At 55.9% G+C, this 21,655-nt stretch overlaps 1 protein-coding gene across 2 annotated transcripts, besides 4 other annotated features; it reads left to right on the top strand.

Annotated features, from left to right (window-relative positions):
* Window positions 922-1,598: an enhancer, noted in NCBI's record as "NANOG-H3K27ac-H3K4me1 hESC enhancer chr1:156677875-156678551 (GRCh37/hg19 assembly coordinates)". NCBI's record gives its function as "activates a minimal SCP1, AML or CMV promoter by ChIP-STARR-seq in naive H9 embryonic stem cells {active_cell/tissue: H9 hESC(naive)}" and the evidence as "EXISTENCE:reporter gene assay evidence [ECO:0000049][PMID:30033119]".
* Window positions 2,277-2,953: an enhancer, noted in NCBI's record as "H3K27ac-H3K4me1 hESC enhancer chr1:156676520-156677196 (GRCh37/hg19 assembly coordinates)". NCBI's record gives its function as "activates a minimal SCP1, AML or CMV promoter by ChIP-STARR-seq in naive and primed H9 embryonic stem cells {active_cell/tissue: H9 hESC(naive and primed)}" and the evidence as "EXISTENCE:reporter gene assay evidence [ECO:0000049][PMID:30033119]".
* CRABP2 (cellular retinoic acid binding protein 2) lies at window positions 3,897-10,075 on the top strand. 2 transcript variants are annotated; one of them, NM_001199723.2, is made up of 5 exons: window positions 3,897-3,972; window positions 4,135-4,304; window positions 8,629-8,807; window positions 9,023-9,139; window positions 9,605-10,075. In NM_001199723.2, the coding sequence occupies exons 2-5, from the start codon at window positions 4,235-4,237 to the stop codon at window positions 9,653-9,655; spliced, it is 417 nt and encodes a 138-aa protein (NP_001186652.1). In that variant the 5' UTR covers window positions 3,897-3,972; window positions 4,135-4,234; the 3' UTR covers window positions 9,656-10,075. The 2 variants fall into 2 exon arrangements, with proteins under 2 accessions (NP_001186652.1, NP_001869.1); NM_001878.4 differs by lacking the exon at window positions 3,897-3,972 and having other exon boundaries at window positions 4,098-4,304.
* Window positions 4,543-5,044: an enhancer, noted in NCBI's record as "H3K4me1 hESC enhancer chr1:156674429-156674930 (GRCh37/hg19 assembly coordinates)". NCBI's record gives its function as "activates a minimal SCP1, AML or CMV promoter by ChIP-STARR-seq in naive H9 embryonic stem cells {active_cell/tissue: H9 hESC(naive)}" and the evidence as "EXISTENCE:reporter gene assay evidence [ECO:0000049][PMID:30033119]".
* Window positions 16,661-17,578: an enhancer, noted in NCBI's record as "OCT4-NANOG-H3K27ac-H3K4me1 hESC enhancer chr1:156661895-156662812 (GRCh37/hg19 assembly coordinates)". NCBI's record gives its function as "activates a minimal SCP1, AML or CMV promoter by ChIP-STARR-seq in primed H9 embryonic stem cells {active_cell/tissue: H9 hESC(primed)}" and the evidence as "EXISTENCE:reporter gene assay evidence [ECO:0000049][PMID:30033119]".

Raw genomic sequence — 21,655 nt, 5'->3', positions numbered from 1 at the left:
TTCTCTACCCTAATCATCCCTAGTTTTCACGATCTCTCTCCTGCATGCAAATGTTTCTGGGAAATGAGTTGCCTCCTTTCTAGATTTCTGACCCTTCTCCCTGCTTGCACTTCAGTTTGCTGGGAACTTTTTTCAGGCCTAACTCCTATTTATCCTGCTGTGAGGACAATTTCATTTGGGGCAAATCAGAGCCTGGCCTTCTCAGACTTGAAAAGGGCTGGGCCCCTGAACCCAGAGAGAAAAGAAAGCAGCACTCTTCTCTGTACCAAGGATCAGGCCAGACTGGGGGGCAACCTGCCTGAGTCTGTGCTCTGTGCTAAGTGGAATCCTGAAGGCTCAGGGTGGCCAGGAGACAGAACTCTCTTGCCCCAGCTGCTCCCAGCCCCTCTCTTCTACTCTCAGACTTCCCTGCATTCCGTAGAAGTCCTGAATTCATTGCTGCCCCTATGCGGAGTAGCAGAGATCCAGGTGTCTAGCCCCACCTGGGTTTAATTTCTACATGCGTTCCAGCCAACAAACTCTCTGACCCAGCAGATACAATAACACTGCCCAGGGTGAGGTTCTTCTCCAAATGCTGAATTTGGCCAGAGAATCTCCATGGTCCCGGTTAGGGGTGAGGGTGGGGGCTTAATCACTCTCCCACACTTCCCATCCCCAGTCAACCTTTCCCTCTCCAGCGGCTGGGCTGGGTGGTCACTCCTTCTCCCTGCTAGCCTCAAGAAGTAATGGAAAGGGGAGGGGGTTCTCCTCTCCCCAAGTCCTAGACGCCTCAGTTATATACACATCTACACCCACTCACACTCTTCACCATCCAGGAGCCCTCTCCTGCCCATCTCTATTCCTTCAGGTGTAAGACCAGCCACCTTCCTTTTAGCCACACCACCATGGAACAAAGTCCCAGAATGTTGCTCTCCTAAGTCTCTCGAGCTTGTTTCCTCCTCACTCCACCCCTACCTATCCCACCTCTGCCCCCCCAGCTTTTCTCATCAACTTTGCACCCTCCCCTCACTGAGTCTCCAGATTCCTGGGGGGGCCCCAAGAGGGTTATGACCAAAGCTCCTGCAAAGGGTCACCCTGGGCAGATCTGTAGCAGATTAGGTCATAATTAAAAGGCCAGAGGCACTGGGAAATTCCTTCTCCTTATTGATCCCAGCGGGAAATTAAAGCCAGTTGTTTGTGACTGAGTGGCTGATGAAGGCTGCAGCTCCTCCCCATTGCCTGGTTCCAGGGTCCTAGCCCCTGCTCCTTGCCTCTAGGCATCTCCATCCTCCTTGGTTAGTCCCCTTCCCCAGGCCCCTCCACTCTCTCATCTCCTACCCCTCCACCTCCCCGAGTCCCCTTCCCTAGCATCTTCCCTAAGAACCCTCCGTGCCTGCTGCTCCCTGGGGTAACAGGGCTGCTAGAGGCTGAGACCTCGGCCTCAGCTATTCAGCACCCTGCTTAGACCCCCTACCCACCTCCCTCAGCCAGGGTTAGGGTGCTGGGGCTGGAGCTGGAGCTCAGGCCCAGAGCTGCCAAACCGCAAATGCTCACATCTGGAAAGAATTCCTCTCCCAGCCCGACTTCCCTTTGTCTTACTTCTGTCTCTTTGGAAATCATGGCCAGTTGGCTGGTGGAGGGAGTGGGGAAGTGAGGAGAGGGGAGTGGGCCCAGGTCTCCCTGCCCCCACCCCAGGGAGCCCCACTGCCTGGCTCCAGCCTCCCCAGCAGCCTCAGCCAAGCCATCCAGCCTGTGCTCCCCTGCTCTAGCATCGAGGGGCCAATCACCCCCTCCTATGACTGTCCCTGCATCCTGGTGACCATCTTTTGGGTGAGGTTTTAACATCTTTAGTCACTCACAAGGCTAGGGGGGAGAGTGCACTGATCCTTTTGTCGTGCAGGAGGAGGGATGCTTATTGAGCAGGAGGCTGGGCGCTTCCAGCTGGGGGCTCAAGAGGGCTGGTGGCATGGAGATGGACGAAATGACCTGGGTGGGGGAGGCAGGGGGCAGTGAAGGGAAGGAGGGGCAGCAGGAATCTGGTTTCCACCATGTTCCCTCCTCTAGCCTCTCCTCATCCCTTTGGCCAGGAGCCTGATTTCACTGTCAGAGCCTAATCCCCCTCCTTTACCTACAGCATTGCTGAGCAGGGAGGATGGGGGAGGAGCTGGGGCTGTGCCTGCAACCCCAGGCCCTAAGCACTTCCCAGGGAACCCCCCACCCCGCCCCACCCCGCTTCCTTCCACCATCTCTGCTTTTGTCTGTCCTTCCTCAGAGAGCTCCTTGACCTGCTGCCCTCTTCCTTGCAGAAGCCCAGGCCTCCCAAACACCCCCAAGTAAGCTCTCCCACACAAAACCTGGACCCCTAAACCCAGGCTGAAGTATTCAAATCTCAGTTTGTTGGCTATTGCGGGCGGGGCCCCATAGAGAAGTCCTATGCAGTGGAATCTCCATCCCTCCTGCTGCCCAGTCAGCCCAGCTGCTTTATTTTCTCACCCACCCATTTCTGCAGATTTCCCTCTCTGCAACCCGGAGGCCCGACCCCCCAGTACATTCTCCAGCCTTCAGTTCTTAATGCTGAGGTCACTCTGGCCCCTCTCCTTTGGTCATCTTCCTCCAGACTCTTCCCCAGCTCCCACCAAAGCTCCCAACTCCCTAGATCGCCCCTAGGTTCTAAACATAAGGGCTCAGAGATCTGAGAGCGACTGCCTGCTCCACCCTTGGCCACGCTGGCGAGGAGGGGCCAGGGCAGGGACCCAGGGCTGGGACCAGATGTAGGGTTTTTCTTTCCGCCTCAGAAGGAGCTGGGAGGGAGAGTCTGGGGAGGGTGGGGGATGGGATGCGGCGGGGCCACGTGCATCGGTTCGCTCAGGGCCACCGGGCCGAAGGCCCCCCCGCGTTGGACAGGCCGGGACGGTTCCTTTGGCTCCAATCACTGCATCCCGCCAGGCTTCGCTCCTCTGCGGTTTCCGGCCTCGGGTCCCAGGCCTGTCCCCGAGGCTCCCCGCCTGACCTCCGTTTCTGTTTCTCCGTCTCCCTGCCATCTCCACTGGGGTCTCGCCCACTCCCACTCGGGTCTCTGCAGGAAGCCGTGCCCTCCTCCCACCCTCTTTGATCTCCCGTTTCAAAGCCGCTCTCCAAGGGAGGGGAGGTCGCTCCTTCCGCCCGTTTTACAGCTCAGGATGGTGACACCTGAGACCCTGCTCCGCCTTCTCCCCCGGCACCCATCCTCCCGCCTATCTAGGTGGTGGCGCAGCTCGCCAGGGCTCCGCGCCTCTGTCCCCGCCTCCCTCCCTTCCCCCTACTGAGACCCCCTCGGGGTCTCGGGAGTGAAGCGACAGAGAAAGCGTTTTAATAAAGACCTTGCGTCAAGTGATTGGCTGTGACCTCTGCCCTCCCAGCCTCGCGCCCTGGGCTCCTGCTTAACCCTTCAATGTCCGCCCAGCGCATTAAGGGGAGCGAGTCGCCTGGCGACTACTTCCAGAGTCCCCAGGCATTACGTGAGCCCGAAGCAGGGTGGAGGGGTGGGGGGACCGTGCCGCCCCCGCCCAGCCTCTCCGAGTTGTTCCAGCAGGGGGCGCCGTTGCCTCACTTAGATCCCTAACCCCCGGAACCCCGCAGCTCCCAAGCCCCTCTCTGAGTACGGAGTGGTCCCACTGGATCCAGTTCAGGGTTCAATGGAGCTAGGGCCAGCTACGGCTCAAGATCTGGGGTCCGCCTGCGGGTGGGGTCGCCAGGTGTCCGGCACCAAGGAGTTGAATGCACCGAGTCAGGTTGGGGATGGGTGGGGAACAGGCGAGACGTGAGGAACTCGGGTGGGGGACAGCCATACACGAGCCCTGAGCATCTGCGCCCGCAGCTAGCTCCCCCCGCCTCTGCGGAGAGCGCGATTCAAGTGCTGGCTTTGCGTCCGCTTCCCCATCCACTTACTAGCGCAGGAGAAGGCTATCTCGGTCCCCAGAGAAGCCTGGACCCACACGCGGGCTAGATCCAGAGGTTGGTGGCGGGGGCGCAGGGCCCCCCAGGTGGGGGGGGGCGGAGCGGGAGGCGGGGCCACTTCAATCCTGGGCAGGGGCGGTTCCGTACAGGGTATAAAAGCTGTCCGCGCGGGAGCCCAGGCCAGCTTTGGGGTTGTCCCTGGACTTGTCTTGGTTCCAGAACCTGACGACCCGGCGACGGCGACGTCTCTTTTGACTAAAAGACAGTGTCCAGTGCTCCAGCCTAGGAGTCTACGGGGACCGCCTCCCGCGCCGCCACCATGCCCAACTTCTCTGGCAACTGGAAAATCATCCGATCGGAAAACTTCGAGGAATTGCTCAAAGTGCTGGGTAAGGAAATGTTCGAGGGCCCAGGTGGGGCAAGGGGGGGCTCTGGAGTCCTCGAAGTTGGGGATGAGAAAGACAGCGGGACCACAATCAGGGCGTGAGACACTGGGTGCCTGCATCCCCGAAAAACGTGCCAGGCGTCCGGGTCCCGGGGCTCTGGGCACGACGCCTAAATCCCGCTTTCTCCTGCGGGGGCCCACCGGTGCCAACACTGCGGTGACTCACGGCCTGTGAATCACGTAGAAACCAGAAGCGCGAGGTTGGCCTCTGGGGGAAGGGGAGGCTGGCCTCAGCGGCCGGACTCGGCGGGCCGAGGCACCTGGCTCTCTGCAGTTCAGAAGCTGCGGGCTGGTGGAGCCACGAACCCTGCATCCAGACTGGGAGCCCGGTTCCCTACCCTGCCCAGCCGCTCGGAGACATTCCAATCTCCTTCCCGGTGCCCCCCTCGGTAACCCAATCCCCAGGGCAGGCTCATTACCCCTCGGCGCCCAGCTCTGCCTGCGAGGTGATCTGCTGCCCCAGCGCCCCCTGAGCCCCACTTTCCTCCCCCTCTGCACTTTCCACTCTGCTCTCCCCACCCCCCATCTGTGAGACAAGTATTTTCATACAGCGAGCAGCTCCAGAGTTCTAAAATCGCTAGGGATAATTATCACTTTCTTGGATTTCAACAAATGGTTTCGTGTGAAACCCCAATCCCACATTTCCAAAAATCTAGGTTCCCACCTACCTCCCCCGACCATAGATCGGCTGCAGCCCAATTGGGTGTGTTGGTCAAAGGTGGGGAAAACTAAGTCAATCCAGACTGCCTTTCCCACTTTTCCAGCCCACCTTCTGTGTGCCCTCTGGGCCAACTGGGCTAGACATCTGGGGCAGGGGAGAGTGCCAGGACCTGGTGACTGGGAGAGGACTCTGGGGGAGAGATGGACGTTAGTTAAGGACCCCAGCCACTGGGAGCGTAAGGGCAGGCCTGCTGCCTTCAATTCCTGCACTCAACAGAGAGACGGTAGTTCGGCTGGGTTGGGCGAGAGGGGAGGGAGGGAAGGCACCCCTCTCCCTGGACTATAGGAGTGAGTCTGGATCTAAGACAGGTCTGGAATGCTGCAGAGAGAGCAGGGATCTCCATCAGTCCTTGCCGTTAGTTCTTCCTGCGATCTAACCACAATACTTCTTGGAGTCATATCAGTCTTTCTTGCTCTGTCCTTGCTAAACTTAAAGACAAAAAGAAATTTTCTCTTTGGAAAGCCTAGATGCCACTCCCTCCTCATCTTCTCTGGATTCTGGCCCCTGTCCTCAGTGGATGAGGTGGTGGTCTGGTACACCCCCAGGCCCCAGCTGAAGAGTAAGATTCAAGGCCCCAATCCTGCTGTCTGTCTTCAGTCTGTTTGTCCTCCCTGCAGGGTCTCTCTGAGCCACGTGCCCTCCTCAGGCCCTGCAGGGGGCAGATTAAAAACAGATCCATTAGACAAACACAGTCCTGAGCCAGCTAAGGCCGGCTAAGCTGGGCCCTCAGCTCCACAGGCACCAGGGGCTCGCTGAAAGGATGTCTCCTCTGAACCCAGCCTTGCCTCTGCAGGAACTTCGGTCCTGGCACACCCCTCTTAGCTCTAGTCAAGGGTCCATCTCAATAAGACTTGGGGACCTGTCATTTCTTCCTAGACACAAGAGTTCAGCAGCCAACAATGGGGGTCCTGGGCTCCCCAGGGGCAAGGCTTCCTCTCTCCCTCTCTCTTCTGTTTGCAGTAGGGTAGGTATGCTTTGGCACTGAGGGGAAAGAGGATTTGTTTCTCTAGGAACCCAGGTCTGGAGGAGGTCCAGGGAGTTGGCCAGATCAGGGGCAGGGAAATCCTGCTACCTGGCAGAGGGCCCTTTCACCCCCGCCTAGTGCATCCCTGGCTCTACTCCAGGACAGGGCGGCAGATCAGGCCAGGTGAGGTGGGTGTGTGGAGCTTAGACCTGGAGCCCATCCAGAGAGGCCCCCTGCTCTGCACGTCTTCCTTTCAGAGGGGTGCTGTCTCCTATCTCCCCCACTTCGGTTAATAACTGGGGAGCAGAGAGAAGGGGTCCAATCTGGGCTGGGATATGGAGGTGCACAGAGAGTCTGAATCCACGAGGCTGAATGAGATAGCCGGACCCTGTGAGGGGAGTGGGGGGTCCTGAAGAAGGGGATACATCACACAGAGCGGGGAGGGCAGTCTCCTTTTCTATTCCTTCTTCTCACAGCAGAGGGGGTTCCCTTGAGGGGACAGGGGTATGGGAGTCTTCCAGAAGGGCAGATGAGTACGGTGCCTAATGCAGAGAGCTTTGAGCCCCAGCTTTTTGCTTTCCTTTTTTTTTTTTTTTTTTTTTTTAGTGGTAGGGTCTCACTGTGTTGCCCAATCTAGTCTCAAACTTCTGGGCTTAAGCAGTCCTGCTGCCTCGGCCTCCCAAAGTGCTGGGATTACAGGCATGAGCCATGGCACCTGACCCTTTGCCTTCCTTTTATCAGTAAAAATAATACCAACAATCATAGCTATTGTTTCCTGAAAACTTAAGCATATGCCTGGCACTGTGTGTGCTAAGTCCTAAACACATACCATCCCAATTGGCTTTTTTTTTTTTTTTTTTTTTGAGACAGAGTTTTGCTCTTGTTGCCCAGGCTGGAGTGCAATGGCACAATCTTGGCTCACCACAACCTCCGTCTCCTGGATTCAAGTGATTCTCCCGCCTCAGCCTCCCGAGCAGCTGGGAGTAGAGGCATGTGCCACCATGCCTGGCTAATTTTTTATTTTAAGTGGAGATGAGGTTTCTCCACGTTGGTCAGGCTGGTCTCAAACTCCCAACCTCAGATGATCCACCCACCTCGGCCTCCTAAAGTGCTGGGATTACAGGCATGGGCCACTGCGCCAGGTCGTTTTTGTTTGTTTGTTTGTTTTTTGTTTTTTTTGAGATGGAGTCTCGCCTTGTCGCCCAGGCTGGAATGCAGTGGTGTGATCTTGGCTCACTGCAACCTCCGCCTCCCGGATTCAAGTGATTCTCCTACCCCAGCCTCAGCGTCCCAAGTAGCTGGGATTACAGGTGCGCGCCACTATGCCCAGCTAATTTTTGTATTTTTAGTAGAGATGGGGTTTCACTATGCTGGTCAGGCTGGTCTTGAACTCTTGACCTCGTGATCCGCCCGCCTCGGCCTCCCAAAGTGCTGGGATTACAGGCGTGAGCCACTGCGCCCAGACTTTTGTTTTGTTTTGTTTTTGAGACAGGGTCTCTCTCTGTCACCCAGGCTGGAGTGCAGTGGTATGATCTCGGTTCATTACAACCTCCGCCTCCCGGGTTCAAGCAATTCAGCAATTCTCCTGCCTCAGCCTCCTGAGTAGCTGGGATTACAGGTGTGAGCAACTGCGTCCAGCCCTGGCTTTTTTTTTTTTTTGGTAGAGTCGGGGTTTCAGCATGTTGCCCAGGCTGGTATCGAACTCCTGAGCTCAAACAATCCACCTGCCTTGGCCTTGTAAAGTGCTGGGATTATAGGTGTGAGCCACTATACCCAACCTTGATTGGCTTTTGAAGAAGCTGTTATTTCCATTTTACAATTGAGGAATCTAAGGCTCAGGGTGGTTAAGCCATTTGCTCAGGGTCACCCAGCCTGTAAGGGGGCTGAGCCAGGAGGAAATCACAGCCTCCTGGACCTTACTCCAGAGCCTCTGTCTTCCCAGGCTGCTGACCATTCTGTAGAGGGAAGCAGCTGCCCCTGCTCTCTTTCATTGCTGTGGGGCAGAAATTGGGCAAATGAAGACCTATCTAGCACTAGATACGGTGGGTAGATAGGGCAAAAAGGGAAATGGCTCCTACTTCCCAGGACATGAGTGATGGGGTCTGGCCTGTGCTTGGCCAGGGGTACAGTCCCAGTGACTCTGATGAGCTGTCAACAGGGTAGACAAAAGGCCAAAAGTGAAGTAAACAGAGACAACCGGAGCCAGTAGCAGGATGTTTGTTGGGTAGGGGGCTGGGGAGAAGCTGCCCCTGGGCATTCTGGGACTGAAGAGCTGAGACGTGGGGAGCCTGATCCAGACCTGCTGACTCAACAAGGTGGGGCCACAGCTAGGAACAGGACTCCCAGGGGCAGGCCACTGCCTCTCTCCCTCTCCTCCCTAAACCCCCTCATCTTTCAGGGCTGCACCGCCTACCGTCTCCTTCAAGGCACTTTCTTAGACACCCAGGCACCAGGCAGATGCACCCCCCAACACACCCACCCCAAGCAAGTCACAAATCAGCCTGCTCCAACTGTCTTATGGGGAGGGTGTGAGAGAGGTGCCCAAAGGCCCCTAAAAGGTGAGCCTCTCCTCTCTCCCCACAGGGGTGAATGTGATGCTGAGGAAGATTGCTGTGGCTGCAGCGTCCAAGCCAGCAGTGGAGATCAAACAGGAGGGAGACACTTTCTACATCAAAACCTCCACCACCGTGCGCACCACAGAGATTAACTTCAAGGTTGGGGAGGAGTTTGAGGAGCAGACTGTGGATGGGAGGCCCTGTAAGGTGAGTGCCAGAAGGGGCTCCAGGGTCATGGCGTCATTGCCCTGCCTCTCAACCTGCCATTTTCCAGGCTAGCAGTTAACTCCTAGCTTCTCTCTGTCCCAGTAGGGAAAATCCCTAGGTGGTGGTGGGGGCTAGAAAGGGGCTCTCTCCCTTATCCCTCTCACTGCATTGCCCCTGCTATGGGCCCAGCTCACTTGGCCACCTGTCTCTTGCAGAGCCTGGTGAAATGGGAGAGTGAGAATAAAATGGTCTGTGAGCAGAAGCTCCTGAAGGGAGAGGGCCCCAAGACCTCGTGGACCAGAGAACTGACCAACGATGGGGAACTGATCCTGGTAAGTCCTGCCTCCTCCCCACTAATAGCAAACCCAGTGCTACCTTCCAAGATTCTCTGGGAGACCCCAGGGTGCAGGAGACTCAAGAACAACCATGGCTGGACTCCGCACCCTGCTGATGGGACTGCTTGAACAGAACTAAGGTGTCCCTATCCCATACAGTGCCCTGTGTGAATTAGAAATGGTGTTCCTTTTATGCAAGCAAAGGGCATGTACTGAGGGATCCCAGCAGTTCTTCAGGGAGATCTTCCTGGCTTGAGGAGGAGGACGGGCCCCAGGGGCTCTATTGCTATCCTCCCTCCATTGATGCCTGGGCATTCTGGGACCAGCTCCTGCCTGTTGGTCTTGAGCCAAGAAGCAGGTTTGGACCTGGAGGCCAAGCAGAGTACCTCCATTCAACCCTCCTCTCCAAAGCCACAGGACCCCAGGGGCCTCTCAGGCTAACAACTACTTCTGTCCTTCCAGACCATGACGGCGGATGACGTTGTGTGCACCAGGGTCTACGTCCGAGAGTGAGTGGCCACAGGTAGAACCGCGGCCGAAGCCCACCACTGGCCATGCTCACCGCCCTGCTTCACTGCCCCCTCCGTCCCACCCCCTCCTTCTAGGATAGCGCTCCCCTTACCCCAGTCACTTCTGGGGGTCACTGGGATGCCTCTTGCAGGGTCTTGCTTTCTTTGACCTCTTCTCTCCTCCCCTACACCAACAAAGAGGAATGGCTGCAAGAGCCCAGATCACCCATTCCGGGTTCACTCCCCGCCTCCCCAAGTCAGCAGTCCTAGCCCCAAACCAGCCCAGAGCAGGGTCTCTCTAAAGGGGACTTGAGGGCCTGAGCAGGAAAGACTGGCCCTCTAGCTTCTACCCTTTGTCCCTGTAGCCTATACAGTTTAGAATATTTATTTGTTAATTTTATTAAAATGCTTTAAAAAAATAAAACCTGTCTCTGGCTCATTGGGCAGGTAGATAAGTCACCTGAGTTCAACCTTGCCTCTGAAATGTAGTATGGGAAAGACTTGTGTTTCTGCAGCATGGAACTGAGTTATACAACAGGAGAGGACAGTCCTTCCAGTCACCGTTCTAACCACCACCCCTTCGTTTGCTGCTGAATCCACAAGCCTCACCTCCACATTCCCTTCTCCAAGGTCCTTCCTTGGTGTCCTGCTCTGGCTTCCAAGGTCACAAGGGCCTCCTCCTCCTGACCTCTCAGCTGGGGCACTGGGCTCTGAGGAGCTGACTCCCACCTTCTCCCATGTTTTCCATCATGGTGACAGTTTCCTCCTCCTCCTCCAGCTGTTGCTTCCCTCTCCTCCAGCTTCAGCCCATGGGTGACCCCAGGCCTGGCCTTGGCCTCCCACATGGTTCCAGATGAGCTCAACGGCACCCACAAGCTGGCCTTGCAGCTGCCTGGGCCTCTGGGTGAGAGGTCTCATCCTGCCTGTCAGCCCTTTGTGTCTGAGACAAGCCATCTCTGCTACCATCCTTCCTCCCTGCCTCAATCTCCCACATGCCCTTCTGCCTCTGGCTTCTAAATCTTCCAGGTCCCTTGGATCCTCCTCCAACCCTCTCCCTGAGCCTCCACACTCAGGTCTACACCAGGTCTGAAACTCCTGGGCTCAAGCGATCCTCCTGCCTCAGCCTCTCAAAATGCTGGGATTTCAGGTGCAAGCCACTGTACTCAGCCAGTTATTTTGTGTTTTTAAAACACAAAATAATGTAATTTAATGGCTTACGTACTAGGAAGCTCCAGCTGGGTCTGGCTTCAGGTATGGCTGGATCCAGAATTTCAGTGACGGTCATCAACCTCTCCCTGTCCACACATCCTGCTCATCTGTTTCTTTCTTTCTTTGTTCTTTTTTTTTTTTTTGAAATGGAGTCTCATTCTGTCACCCAGGCTGGAGTGCAATGGTGCAATCTCGGCTCACTGCAACCCCCGTCTCCCAGGATCAAGTGATTCTGTGATTCTCCTGCCTCAGCCTCCCAAGTAGCTGGGGTTACAGGCACGAACCACCACACCCAACTAATTTTTGTATTTTTAGTAAAGACAAGGTTTCGCCATGTTGGCAAGGCTGGTCTTGAACTCCTGACCTCAGGTGATCCACCCACCTCGGCCTCCCAAAGTGCTGGGATTACAGGCGTGAGCCACCGTGCCCGGCCTCATCTGTTTCTTTTGTGCATCAGCCACATTCAATCCTGTCACATAGTTTTCTCCAAGTCATGGGAAATTGCCTTCAGATGCCCTAAGCTTACAGTTACGGTTTGAGATCCAAAAAAAAAGAGAGACCCAGGGTCCCTATCTTCAACATTCCAAGACTCAACTCTGTTCTGCTTTGGTCACATGACCATCCCTTGGACTAGGTGCTGTTGGCACAGGTGGGGCACTGTGACAATCCCTCAATCCTAAGACATGGGAAGGGACAGTTTTCCAATGAAGAGGGTCACCATGAGTCTCAGGTTTCTAATCCATATCTAGCAATTATAAATAATACCTCACTGGGTTGTTACAAGAGTTAAGTAAAATAAGTCACATTCAGCACATAGCACTTAGCCACAGGAAGCCCTCAGAGAGTGATGGTCCTGTCTCTGACCCACCCCCTACACTTCTGCCAGGGGATTCTTCTAAAACAAAACTTTCATCATGTCAGTGCCCTGTTTAAAAAACAACAAAATAAAAACTCACCTTAGCTGCAGCCCTTCCTTTTGCCCAGAATAAAATCCAAAGCAGTACTGGAGGCTCTTTAAGCCATGGCCCCTCCCCTTACCACATGTGCTCCTCTGAGAAGGACCCACTGTATGGTTTGCCATCCTCTCTGTCCATTGGCGCCCAGCGCTTCTCCAACGCTTAGCTCCTTGTGTAGCCCTAAGTGGCCTCTCCCTTCATCAGCGCTGACAGTCAGTGGTCACGCTTCATAGCCTATAAGCCTCCTCTCCCTGCAAGACCAGGGTGCCCCGGGGCCAGGGCCTCCCACTTCTGCCCCATGAAAAGCCACACACTACGGCTGAGGGCAGAGGGCCAAGGTCGGGGAGTAGGGAGACAGTGTCCAGAGCCCTTGGGCTCTGAGTGCGGGATTGGAGAGGTGAGGGGCTTTTTCATGTACTCATCTAATATTGTTTCCTGAAAGCCTCCTAGGAGCTGGGCACCCTGCTAGGTACTAGGAACACGGAAATGAATCAAACAGACAAGCTCTCCACCCTCATGGGACCTGTAGGGGAAAACAGACCTTTAGTGGGGAAAGATAATTTAAAAATAAGTGTACCAATACATACATAATTGCAAATTGTGGTAAGGGCTATAAGGAAAAGGGGGACGAGGGAGAGAATAATAAAGCAGGCCTCAGGTAGACCGGGCATGGGCAGAGGAGGTGCGTAGAGGAGTAAAAGCAGAGGGGAAGGTGCTCTGGGCAGTGGAAACCACAGGCTAAAAGCCTGGAGGCAGCCAAGCATCGGAGGCTTGACCGGAGTGCAGGGAGGCTGGAGGGGTGGCCAGCGCCCGGTCTTGCAAATCCTGAACTCCACGCCAAGTAGTTATTTATTCTAAGAGCAATGAGAAGCCATCAAAGGATTTTTGAAGGGGGTAGCATTGCCTGTGTGTTTTTAGGAGTTCTCTCTGGCACCAAGGTGGAGAGGGACTAGAGAAATGGGTGAAGGAAAAGCCAGCAGGAGGCTGGCGAAGTGTACAGGCAGAGGATGGAGAGAGTCAGGCGCAGGGCACAGTGATGTGTAGAGGGGAGGTGAAAGGATGAGAGAAAGAGAGGTGTGGAGAATGGTTCTGCGGCTTCTGGTTTTGGTCACTGAGTGGCTGGCGGGGCTGTTTTCAGAAATGGAAAAATGAAGCCTGCTGGACTGGCTGCTGAGAGTCTTTCTGGATGCCTGCTTTTTGTTTGTTTGTTTGTGTTTGTTTTTAGATAGAGTCTCCCAGGCTAGGCACTCACAGCTGTAATCCCAGAACTTTGGGAGGCCAAGACAGGAGGATCACTTGAGGTCAGGATTTCGAGACTAGCCTGGACAACATGGTGAAACCTCTCTACTAAAAATATGAAAAAAAGGCCAGGCACGGTGGCTCACGCCTGTAATCCCAGACCTTGGGAGGCCAAGGTGGGTGGATCACGAGGTCCGGAGATCGAGACCATCCTGGTTAACACAGTGAAGCTCCGTCTCTACTAAAACTACAAAAAATGAGCCGGGCGTGGTGGCGGGCGCCTGTAGTCCCAGCTACTCAGGAGGCTGAGGCAGGAGAATGGCGTGAACCCAGGAGGTGGAGGTTGCAGTGAGCCGAGCTCACGCCATTGCACTCCAGCCTGGGTGACAGAGCGAGACTCTGTCTCAAAAGAAAAAAAAAAATTAGCTGGGTGTGGTGGCATGCGCCTGTAATCCCAGCTACTTGGAGGCTGAGGCAGGAGAATCGCTTGAACCCAGGAGGCGGAGGTTGCAGTGAGCCGAGATCACGCCATTGCACTCCAGCCTGGGAGACGGAGTGAGACTCCACCTAAAAAAAAAAAAAAAAGTGGGCTGGGCATGGTGGCCCACGCCTGTAATCTCAGCACTTTGGGAGGCTGAGGCGGGGGGATCACCTGAGGTCAGGAGTTGGAGACCAGCCTGGCCAACATGGCAAAACCCTGTCTCTACTAAAAACAAAAAAAAAATGCTGGGCACGGTGGCTCACACCTGGAACCCCAGCACTTTGGGAGGCCGAGGCAGGCGGATCAAGAGGTCAGGGGTTCGAGACCAGCCTGGCCAACATAGTGAAACCCTGTCTCTACTAAAAATATAAAGATTAGGTGGGCATGGTGGCGCGTGCCTGTAGTCCCAGCTACTTGGGAGGCTGAAGCAGGAGAGTCGCTTGAACCTGGGAGGCGGAGCTTGCAGTGAGCCAAGATGGCACCACTGCACCCCAGCCTGGGCAACAGAGCGGGACTCCATCTCAAAAAAATAAAAAAATAAAAAATAAGCTGGGCGTGGTGGCGCATGCCTATAGTCCCAGCTACTCAGGAGGCTGAGGTAGGAGAATCGCTTGAACCTGGGAGGTGGAGGTGGAGGTTGCAGTGAGCCGAGATCGCGCCACTGCACTGCAGCTGGGAGACAGAACGAGACTCCATCTCTTTTTTTTTTTTTTTTTTTTTTTTTTTTTGAGATGGAGTCTCGCTCTGTCCCCCAGGCCGGAGTGCAGTGGCGTGATCTCGGCTCACTGCAAGCTCCGCCTCCCGGGTTCACGCCATTCTCCTGCCTTAGCCTCCCGAGTAGCTGGGACTACAGGCGCATGCCACCACGCCCGGCTAATTTTTTGTATTTTTAGTAGAGACGGGGTTTCACCATGTTAGCCAGGATGGTCTTGATCTCCTGACCTCGTGATTCACCCGCCTCGGCCTCCCAAAGTCTTGGGATTACAGGCGTGAGCCACTGCGCCCGGCGGAGACTCCATCTCAAAAAAAAAAAAAAAGTTAGATAGAGTCTCCCTCTGTCACCCAGACCGGAGTGCAGTGGCGCTTTCTGGGCTCACTGCAACCTCCGCCTCCCGGGTTCAAGCGATTCTCCTGCCTCAGCCTCCTGAGTAGCTGGGAATATAAGCGTGCGCCACCATGCCCAGTTAATTTTTGTATTTTTAGTAGAGACGGGGGTTTTGCCATGTTGGCCAGGCTGGTAAATTCCTGGCCTCAAGCTATCTGCCCGCCTTCGCCTCCCAAAGTGCTGGGATTACAGGCGTAAGCCACTGTGCCCCAGCCTGTTTGTTTGTTTCCTCTCCTCCTTTCTGCATCACCGCCTCCCATCTCACCTCCTTCCAGATTCCTTGCTCCATCTCATTCCCATCCAGGTCACCCAGCTCCCCCTACCCCTTCCCACCTTAGCCTGGCTCCCTACTCCCCACGTCCTTAGGCTCTGGAGGCTGAAGCTCTGTCTTTCCATTCGTCTGGAGCGCGTGCTCTTATTTCTCTGCCTAGTTTGTCTCTTCCTAGAACAAAGTTATTGAGAAAGGCAGAGAGAGGAGGCCTCTCTTTTTCCCAGGAGATCCCTGAGAGCAGGAGCTGGGGCTCCCTGCTCAGACTGGGGGCTCCCTGAAGGCAGAGGCTGTGTCTCATCCCTGAGATGGGGAGACTCCCTGAGTGCAGAGCGGGGGCTGCTCCCTTTCCTGGCTCTGCTTCTCCAGTTACTTTCCTGCCCGCCAGGGCCAGCCTGAGATGACAAGGAAGTTACAAGTTACAGTTACAGTCATGGACTGGGAGATTGGATCAGGGAGGGGCTACCTCACCCTGCTGGCCCAGCCTGGCCCCATCCGTGAGAAAGTCCCTCCAGCTTCCCCTCCCACCCCAGGCCCTCTTGGACTCCTCTTTCGTTACCTGGGCCTTTGTTACTCAGCAGTGCGTTTGGGAGAAAAGGCACAGCAGCTCTCACCTCCTGCCTGTGCCCCCAAAATTCTGTGAGATCTTTGTGGGCAGAGAGGCTTCTCTTCTCTGAAGTCCAAGCTTCTCAGAGCCCAACCACAGGAGAGGCCGAAACATGGTTCCAGTCCTGCCACAGTTGGAACAAGGGGGCCCAGAGAAGGTGGAAGGGCAAGGCAAGTGGGGAGGGGAGGGGGGTGCAGGAAGCGAATGACTCTGCCTTGGGGTTGGGAGGCTGACATACATGGCAGACCCTGACAGGCACTGGGAGAGTCTGCACCTACATCTTAGGGAAACTGAGGCAGGGCCGATTCCTCTTCTTCCCCCACAAGAGATGGGAGTGTGGAGCTGAGAGAAAGGCCCAGTGAAGTCAAAACCCAGAGGTGCTCAGGGCACAGCTGAGACCAGAGAGGACAAAGCCCAGCAGGAGCCCAGGGCCCAGTGGGGCCTCCGAGACCCTAGCACCTGAGGACAACTTCATGCCTGCGTGTGGCAGGAAGGGCCGAGTTACAGCGGTCCTCAAAGGAGGGATGCGGAGCTGCAGAACCAGAGATGGAAGCCCCGAGAAAGACAGAGAGAGGCAGAATGAGAGACACAGACAGAGATGGAGAATGCGAGGGACACACACAGTGTAAGACACACAGACAGAAAATGAGAGAAGAGAGAGGCAAAAAAAAGAGAGAGGGAGGAGACTGGGTGGGAGGAGAGGAAAGGGAGGGGACAGGGGAGGTGACACAGGAGAAAGTGGAGAGATCCTGAGACACTTGGGAGGAGGGGAGGAGGAGGAAGAAAGGGCCCCAGGGGCGGTGGTCCCAGGAGAGGGGGCGTACTGGCCAGCACCTCTGACCCTAGGTCCCAACAAAGAACTGCTTAAGGACCGCCACAGGCGCAAGATGGATGGGCATGTGGCTGCCGGCCCCTTTGTGGCGGGGGATAAAAGGCAGCAGGCTCTGAGGACAGTCTTCAGGGTTCCCCACCGCTTGAGGCTCCCCTGCCCCTCCCCCAATGATCTCTGGAGGCTTCAAGTGTGGTGGGAGGTGGGGAGGGGAGGAGCTGAGTCCAACCAGGTGTTTCTCCTGGCTGGGCCAGTCGCACCTGAGGAAAAAGGGGGACAGGGCTGTGGGCTGTGGGGGGCCTGGGAGGGGCTCCCTGAGTCTTTGTGGAAAGTGAATCAGTCACAGGCAAATAAGGTGGATGGGCCAGGCTGACGGGGCCCCAGCAGAGGGGGTTGAGGCTCTTGTTCTAGTGACCGTCGGAGGTCCCCTGGCCAGGGCTTCCCACCTCTCTCCTTTGGGCCTGGCACTGCCCTCCCGACCTTTTGGCTTCCTCCTGCCCTGTCCCCCTTGGCACTGCCAGTCGAGAAACCAGTTCTGTTCCTGCCCTGGATAAGAATCTCTGGGCTGGGCTCTTCCCAGGCAGCGGCAGAAACCTGGCAGGAAGACAGCACCCCCGCCCCCAGCCAGGGCCAGATCTCCCCACTGCAGGCCCACCCCAGCTGCAGGCGGCCCCTTCCTACCATCTTTCCCAGGGTCCAGTGCCACTTTCCTGCAGCCCCGAGGACACATCCTTGCTGCCTACACTTGGTTTCCCCTGCATCGGGGTCAGACCCACGGCTCTTTATGGAAGGATGGGACCTAGGAGCCCCCTCCCCCTCCTCTCCTGTCTAACTTCCTTCTCTTTCCGTGACACTTGGCCCTCTAGAGTGCCTTGCCCGTCCCCATTTCCACTCGAAGAGAAGAGCTCCTTAGAACACCCTTGCAGGAGTCAGGGTCCCTCCCTGCTCTTTCCTTGGGTGTCCCAGAAGCCGGGCTGCTCCTTCCCCCCCACTTCCCCTTCCTGAGCCTCCTCCCCAGTCCCCACAGGCTCCCCGCATCTGCTCTCATCAATCGCTCCCCAACGGCAGGGTCAGCCCCTTGCTCAATCACTGGCACTGAAGGGCGTCGGGTGAGACAGGGTTGACCCCACTTAACCCAGCCCCGGGTCTCCTCTTGGCCCATCATTCATTTCCCGTGACATTTGGTCCCTTTTTCATCCTTTGGACATGCAGCCCCCGCTCCTCCAGCGGGAAAGGACTTTAAAAGTTCATCTTCTCTGTTCTTCTCCCTCCTCATCACATGTCTGCTGCTCTCCGTCCCTGCCCTGCACCCCAGAAACTGTGGGCTGCTCCTTGTTCCTGTCCCGGCCCACTGCAGCACTGGCCAGCCTCTCCAGCTTCCTCCAGGCATCCAGCCGCTCACAGGGGGCGGTGGAGAGACCCAATGGCAGAGGCAGAGAGGAGGGCAATTCTGGAAGCCGTCAGGGCAGATCTGGGGGCGTCTGGAGGAGTCTAGACTTGAGCCTCAGCTCCCACCCCCGCTGCTTGAGGTGAGCGGGTGTGTCAGGCCAGGCAGGGACTCAAGCTGGTGACTCAAGCCCGACAGCTGCATGGTCCTCAGCAAGGAGTCCTCCCTCCCGCAGCCCCAAGGTGGAATCTTAGAAGCTGGGAATTCCAGAACCAGAGAGCAGAGTCCCAGAAGGAAGGGACCTCAGGGATCCTGCCTCTCCTTTGTGTGAGAGGAAACTAACTGGAGGACCACAAAAGGGCATGGCCAGCTTGGGGGTCACCCAGGTGTCAGGGAAATCATTAGTCACAGAAGAGGGGCTGCTTGGGTTCAGTACAAACCAGCTTAGTCCCAACGGGTGTCAGCCAGACCCCTCCGCACCCTCTTCCTCACCAGCGAGGGGCCTGGGTTCTTCAGTGTGGAAAGAAATGTCAGTCTTTCCCACAGCCTACGTTCCCACCTCTCATCCCGGAGTGGGCAAGCCCCTGCCCCCGTGCTGGGCCTCTCTCCTGTCCTTCCCCGCTGCAGATGATGAGGCCGGGACAGGTGTGGGGCCCTCTAGGCTCAGGTGAGGGGTTATGAGCTAAGGTTTCAAGAGGAGCCTGAGAGCAGGGGACCCAGGTCTCAGCGAGAGCTGCGTGGGGAGGAGGAGCCACCTTGCCTGATGCAGGTTGCAGCCAGAAGGGGGGACCCAGAAGATTCCTCAGCCGCCCAACCAGCCCCTAAGTCCATCGCAGCCCACCCCAGGACGTGCCTGAGTAGAAGGAGACCCAAGACACAGGCACAGGTGTCATGACTGTTTTCATATTCACTTGGGGTGCCTACAAAGAAGGACCCAGGCCTGTGCCTGGCCTTGGGCAGGCTGGCAGCATTTAGTCCCTTGACAAACATTTGCTGAGCATCAGCTATGTGTCAGACACTCGTGAGCGGGACCCCATGCACTCTCTGACTCCAGAACTTTCATTCAGCCTTCCATCCATTGAGGAAGTATTTTCTGAGCTCCTACTCTCTGCCAAGCACATCCACTCCCGCTCCTCCCACCAAGTTCTGGAGCCAGGACGGGACCTCCAGAGCAAGCACTGTGGGACGGGTGTCCAGAAGAACCCACTTCTACCACCGCCAGCCTCTGCTGCCCGCAGGCTGCCTGTGTCTCAGCCCCAGCCCCCGTCCTCACAGCTGCAAATAAAGGCTCAATCTTTCATCAAAACTTTCCTGCAATTGTCCTTCTGTCATCACAGCCCCTGATGCAGAAACCAACCAAGGAGCTGTAGAAACACAGAGGCAGAAAGGTGAGGTCATCCCGTCTAGCACCCAGTCTCAGGGCAAGAACGCGTTCCACAGCCCAGCTGAGTCTCAGAGAGAGTCCACCCTCCCACAGCCTTCTTTGGCTCACTTCTCCCCAGGGTTTGCCCACATTCCTCCAGGGAAGTCCTTCCTGGAGGCTAACTTAAGTGCCTCCTGCTGTCGCTTTAACTTCTCAAGGGGATGAAACCCAGAAGATAGGCTTATTTTCTCAAGGGGCTCAGGGACTGGGGTGGGGAGTGCTGTGGGCGCACAAGTGGGAAAACTTTCTCCACCTCTCTCAGCTTTCTTTTCTTTCTCTTCTCCACACCTCATTCTTTCCCTTTCCCTCCTCTCTCTTTAGTCGTCTCCCACTCAACTCAGCTGCTGGCTGGGAGCCAGCATTGTTCCTGCCTGGCTCCCCTCTCCCCTCCTCCTTCCCTCTCTGCGCCCCCCTCCAGCCAGCCCAGTCCCTGGCATGCGGTAGCCCCAGCTGGGGGGCAGGGCAGCACGCAAGACCTTTCCTGCCCCGTCTTCTGCCTCCTCCTCACTCTTCCCTTCCAGTCCCCATTGATGGCCCCCACCCAGCATAGGAGGCTGGGGAGCTTGGGTTACCCAGGCCCCTGGTTATTTTTATTGCCACCAGCTCAGGAGATAAATATACCTCCCCTCCCCGCAGCTGTCCTGGACGGAGTAACACATCCCTTCCCAATTCACTCCCTCTCCTACCGTTCATCCACTCACCTCAACGTCGAGTTGACTCACCCGAACGTCTTCTGCTCACATTCTCTCCTAGTCAGTCCCTCTGGACCCTGGACTCCCTGCAGAAAGACAGCTTGACCCCCAAGCTCAGAAATGGGACGGGAGGAGAGCCTCGGTGTCTTGGCTCCACCTAGTGGCTTCTCGAGACACCACACCTAGCGAAGGGGTCTAGCGGGAGCCTCGCCTTGATGCCACCCGGCTGGGGCAGGACTTCACAACACTGCGGGGAGGAGGCGCCGCGCAGAAGTTGCTTCTGCTAGTGGTTGAGCCTCCAGGCTGAGCCTGGGCCCTGAGACCCCTCTCCCACTTGGCCAGGCGAGGGGCTGGTGGTCTACAGCCCACTGCCTCTTCCTCCTTGTGATTCCAAACCGTTCTGTTAGATCCCACAATCCAGGGAGGTTCTTGGAATTCATTTGCGGGTCTCTGGAAATAGTTAAGGGCAGAAACTGAAGCTCCCCAGAGAGGACAGAAGGGGAACCCAGGGATCAAGATGGACTGCTGTTCATTCCCAGCTTGTTAGAGTTCCTGGGATTCAAGAAGCCACCAGTCCTCTAGAACAGATCTCAAAATGAATCCCCCAAGAGTGGTTATCTGGTCTGTGTTTGAACACCCAGGAACAGGGTCCTCACTCCCTCTGGTGGCAGTTCGTTCCAGGACAGAGACAAGTATTGTGACTGGCTCGTTTGGGCTGAAATTGGTGCCTGTAGCTTCCACCCTTCAGACCTGGTTCTGCCTCCTGGAACCATATAAGAAAAGTCCAAGCTCTTTTACCCAAGAGCCTTTTAGACACTTAAGATGGCCCCACTCTAGGTTTTATTTATTTTGAAATAGTTCATGTACTCGATCAATAAAGAATCACATTCCAGACGGTGGTGTGCGTCTCTCAAGCCCCCACAGCTCCCAAGCATCAATTCCCTGCTGGCTTCTCTTTTTTTGTGTGTGATGGAGTCTCGCTCTGTCGTCCAGACTGGAGTGCAGTGGCGTGATCTTGGCTTGCTACAACGTCTGCCTCCTGGGTTCACGTGATTCTCCTGCCTCAGCCTCCCGAGTAACTGGAACTACAGGCAAAGGCACCTGCCATCACGCCCAGCTAATTTTTGTATTTTTTGTAGAGATGAGGTCTCACCGCGTTGGCCAGGCTGGTCTTGAACTCCTGACCTCAAGTGATCCGACCGCTTTGGCCTCCCAAAGTGATGGGATTACAGGCGTGAGCCACCACACCTGTCCCCTGCTGGCATCTCTTTCTTCCTCCCAAGTCAGAGCCACTGTCCTCTCCATTCTTTTTATTGTTATTTTGCCTTTTGAAAATATTTTTGCATGCTGGGCATGGTGGCTCATACCTGTAATGCCAGCACTGTAGGAGGCTGAGGAGGGCAGGTCACTTGAGTGCAGGAGTTTGAGACCAGCCTGGGTAACATAGTGGCGAGACCTATCTCTATTTTTAAAAACATTTTAAGCCAGGTGTGGTGTCTCACGCCTGTAATCCCAGCACTTTGGGAGGCTGAGGCAGGCAGATCACCTGAGGTCAGGAGTTTGAGACCAGCCTGACCAACATGGTGAAACCCCATCTCTACTAAAAATACAAAAATTAGGTGGGCATGGTGGTACACGCCTGTAATCCCAGCTACTTGGGAGGCTGAGGCAGGAGAATCACTTGAACCTGGGAGGTGGAGGTTGCAGTGAGCCGAGATGGCGCCACTGCACTCCAGTCTGGGCAACAAGAGTGAAACTCTATCTCAAAAGCAAACAAACAAACAAAAAACATTTTAAGGCCAGGCATG

This window comes from Homo sapiens, chromosome 1, assembly GCF_000001405.40.
Source record: "Homo sapiens chromosome 1, GRCh38.p14 Primary Assembly".
NCBI lineage: Eukaryota > Metazoa > Chordata > Mammalia > Primates > Hominidae > Homo > Homo sapiens.
This window is presented reverse-complemented; position numbering and strand designations above follow the sequence as displayed.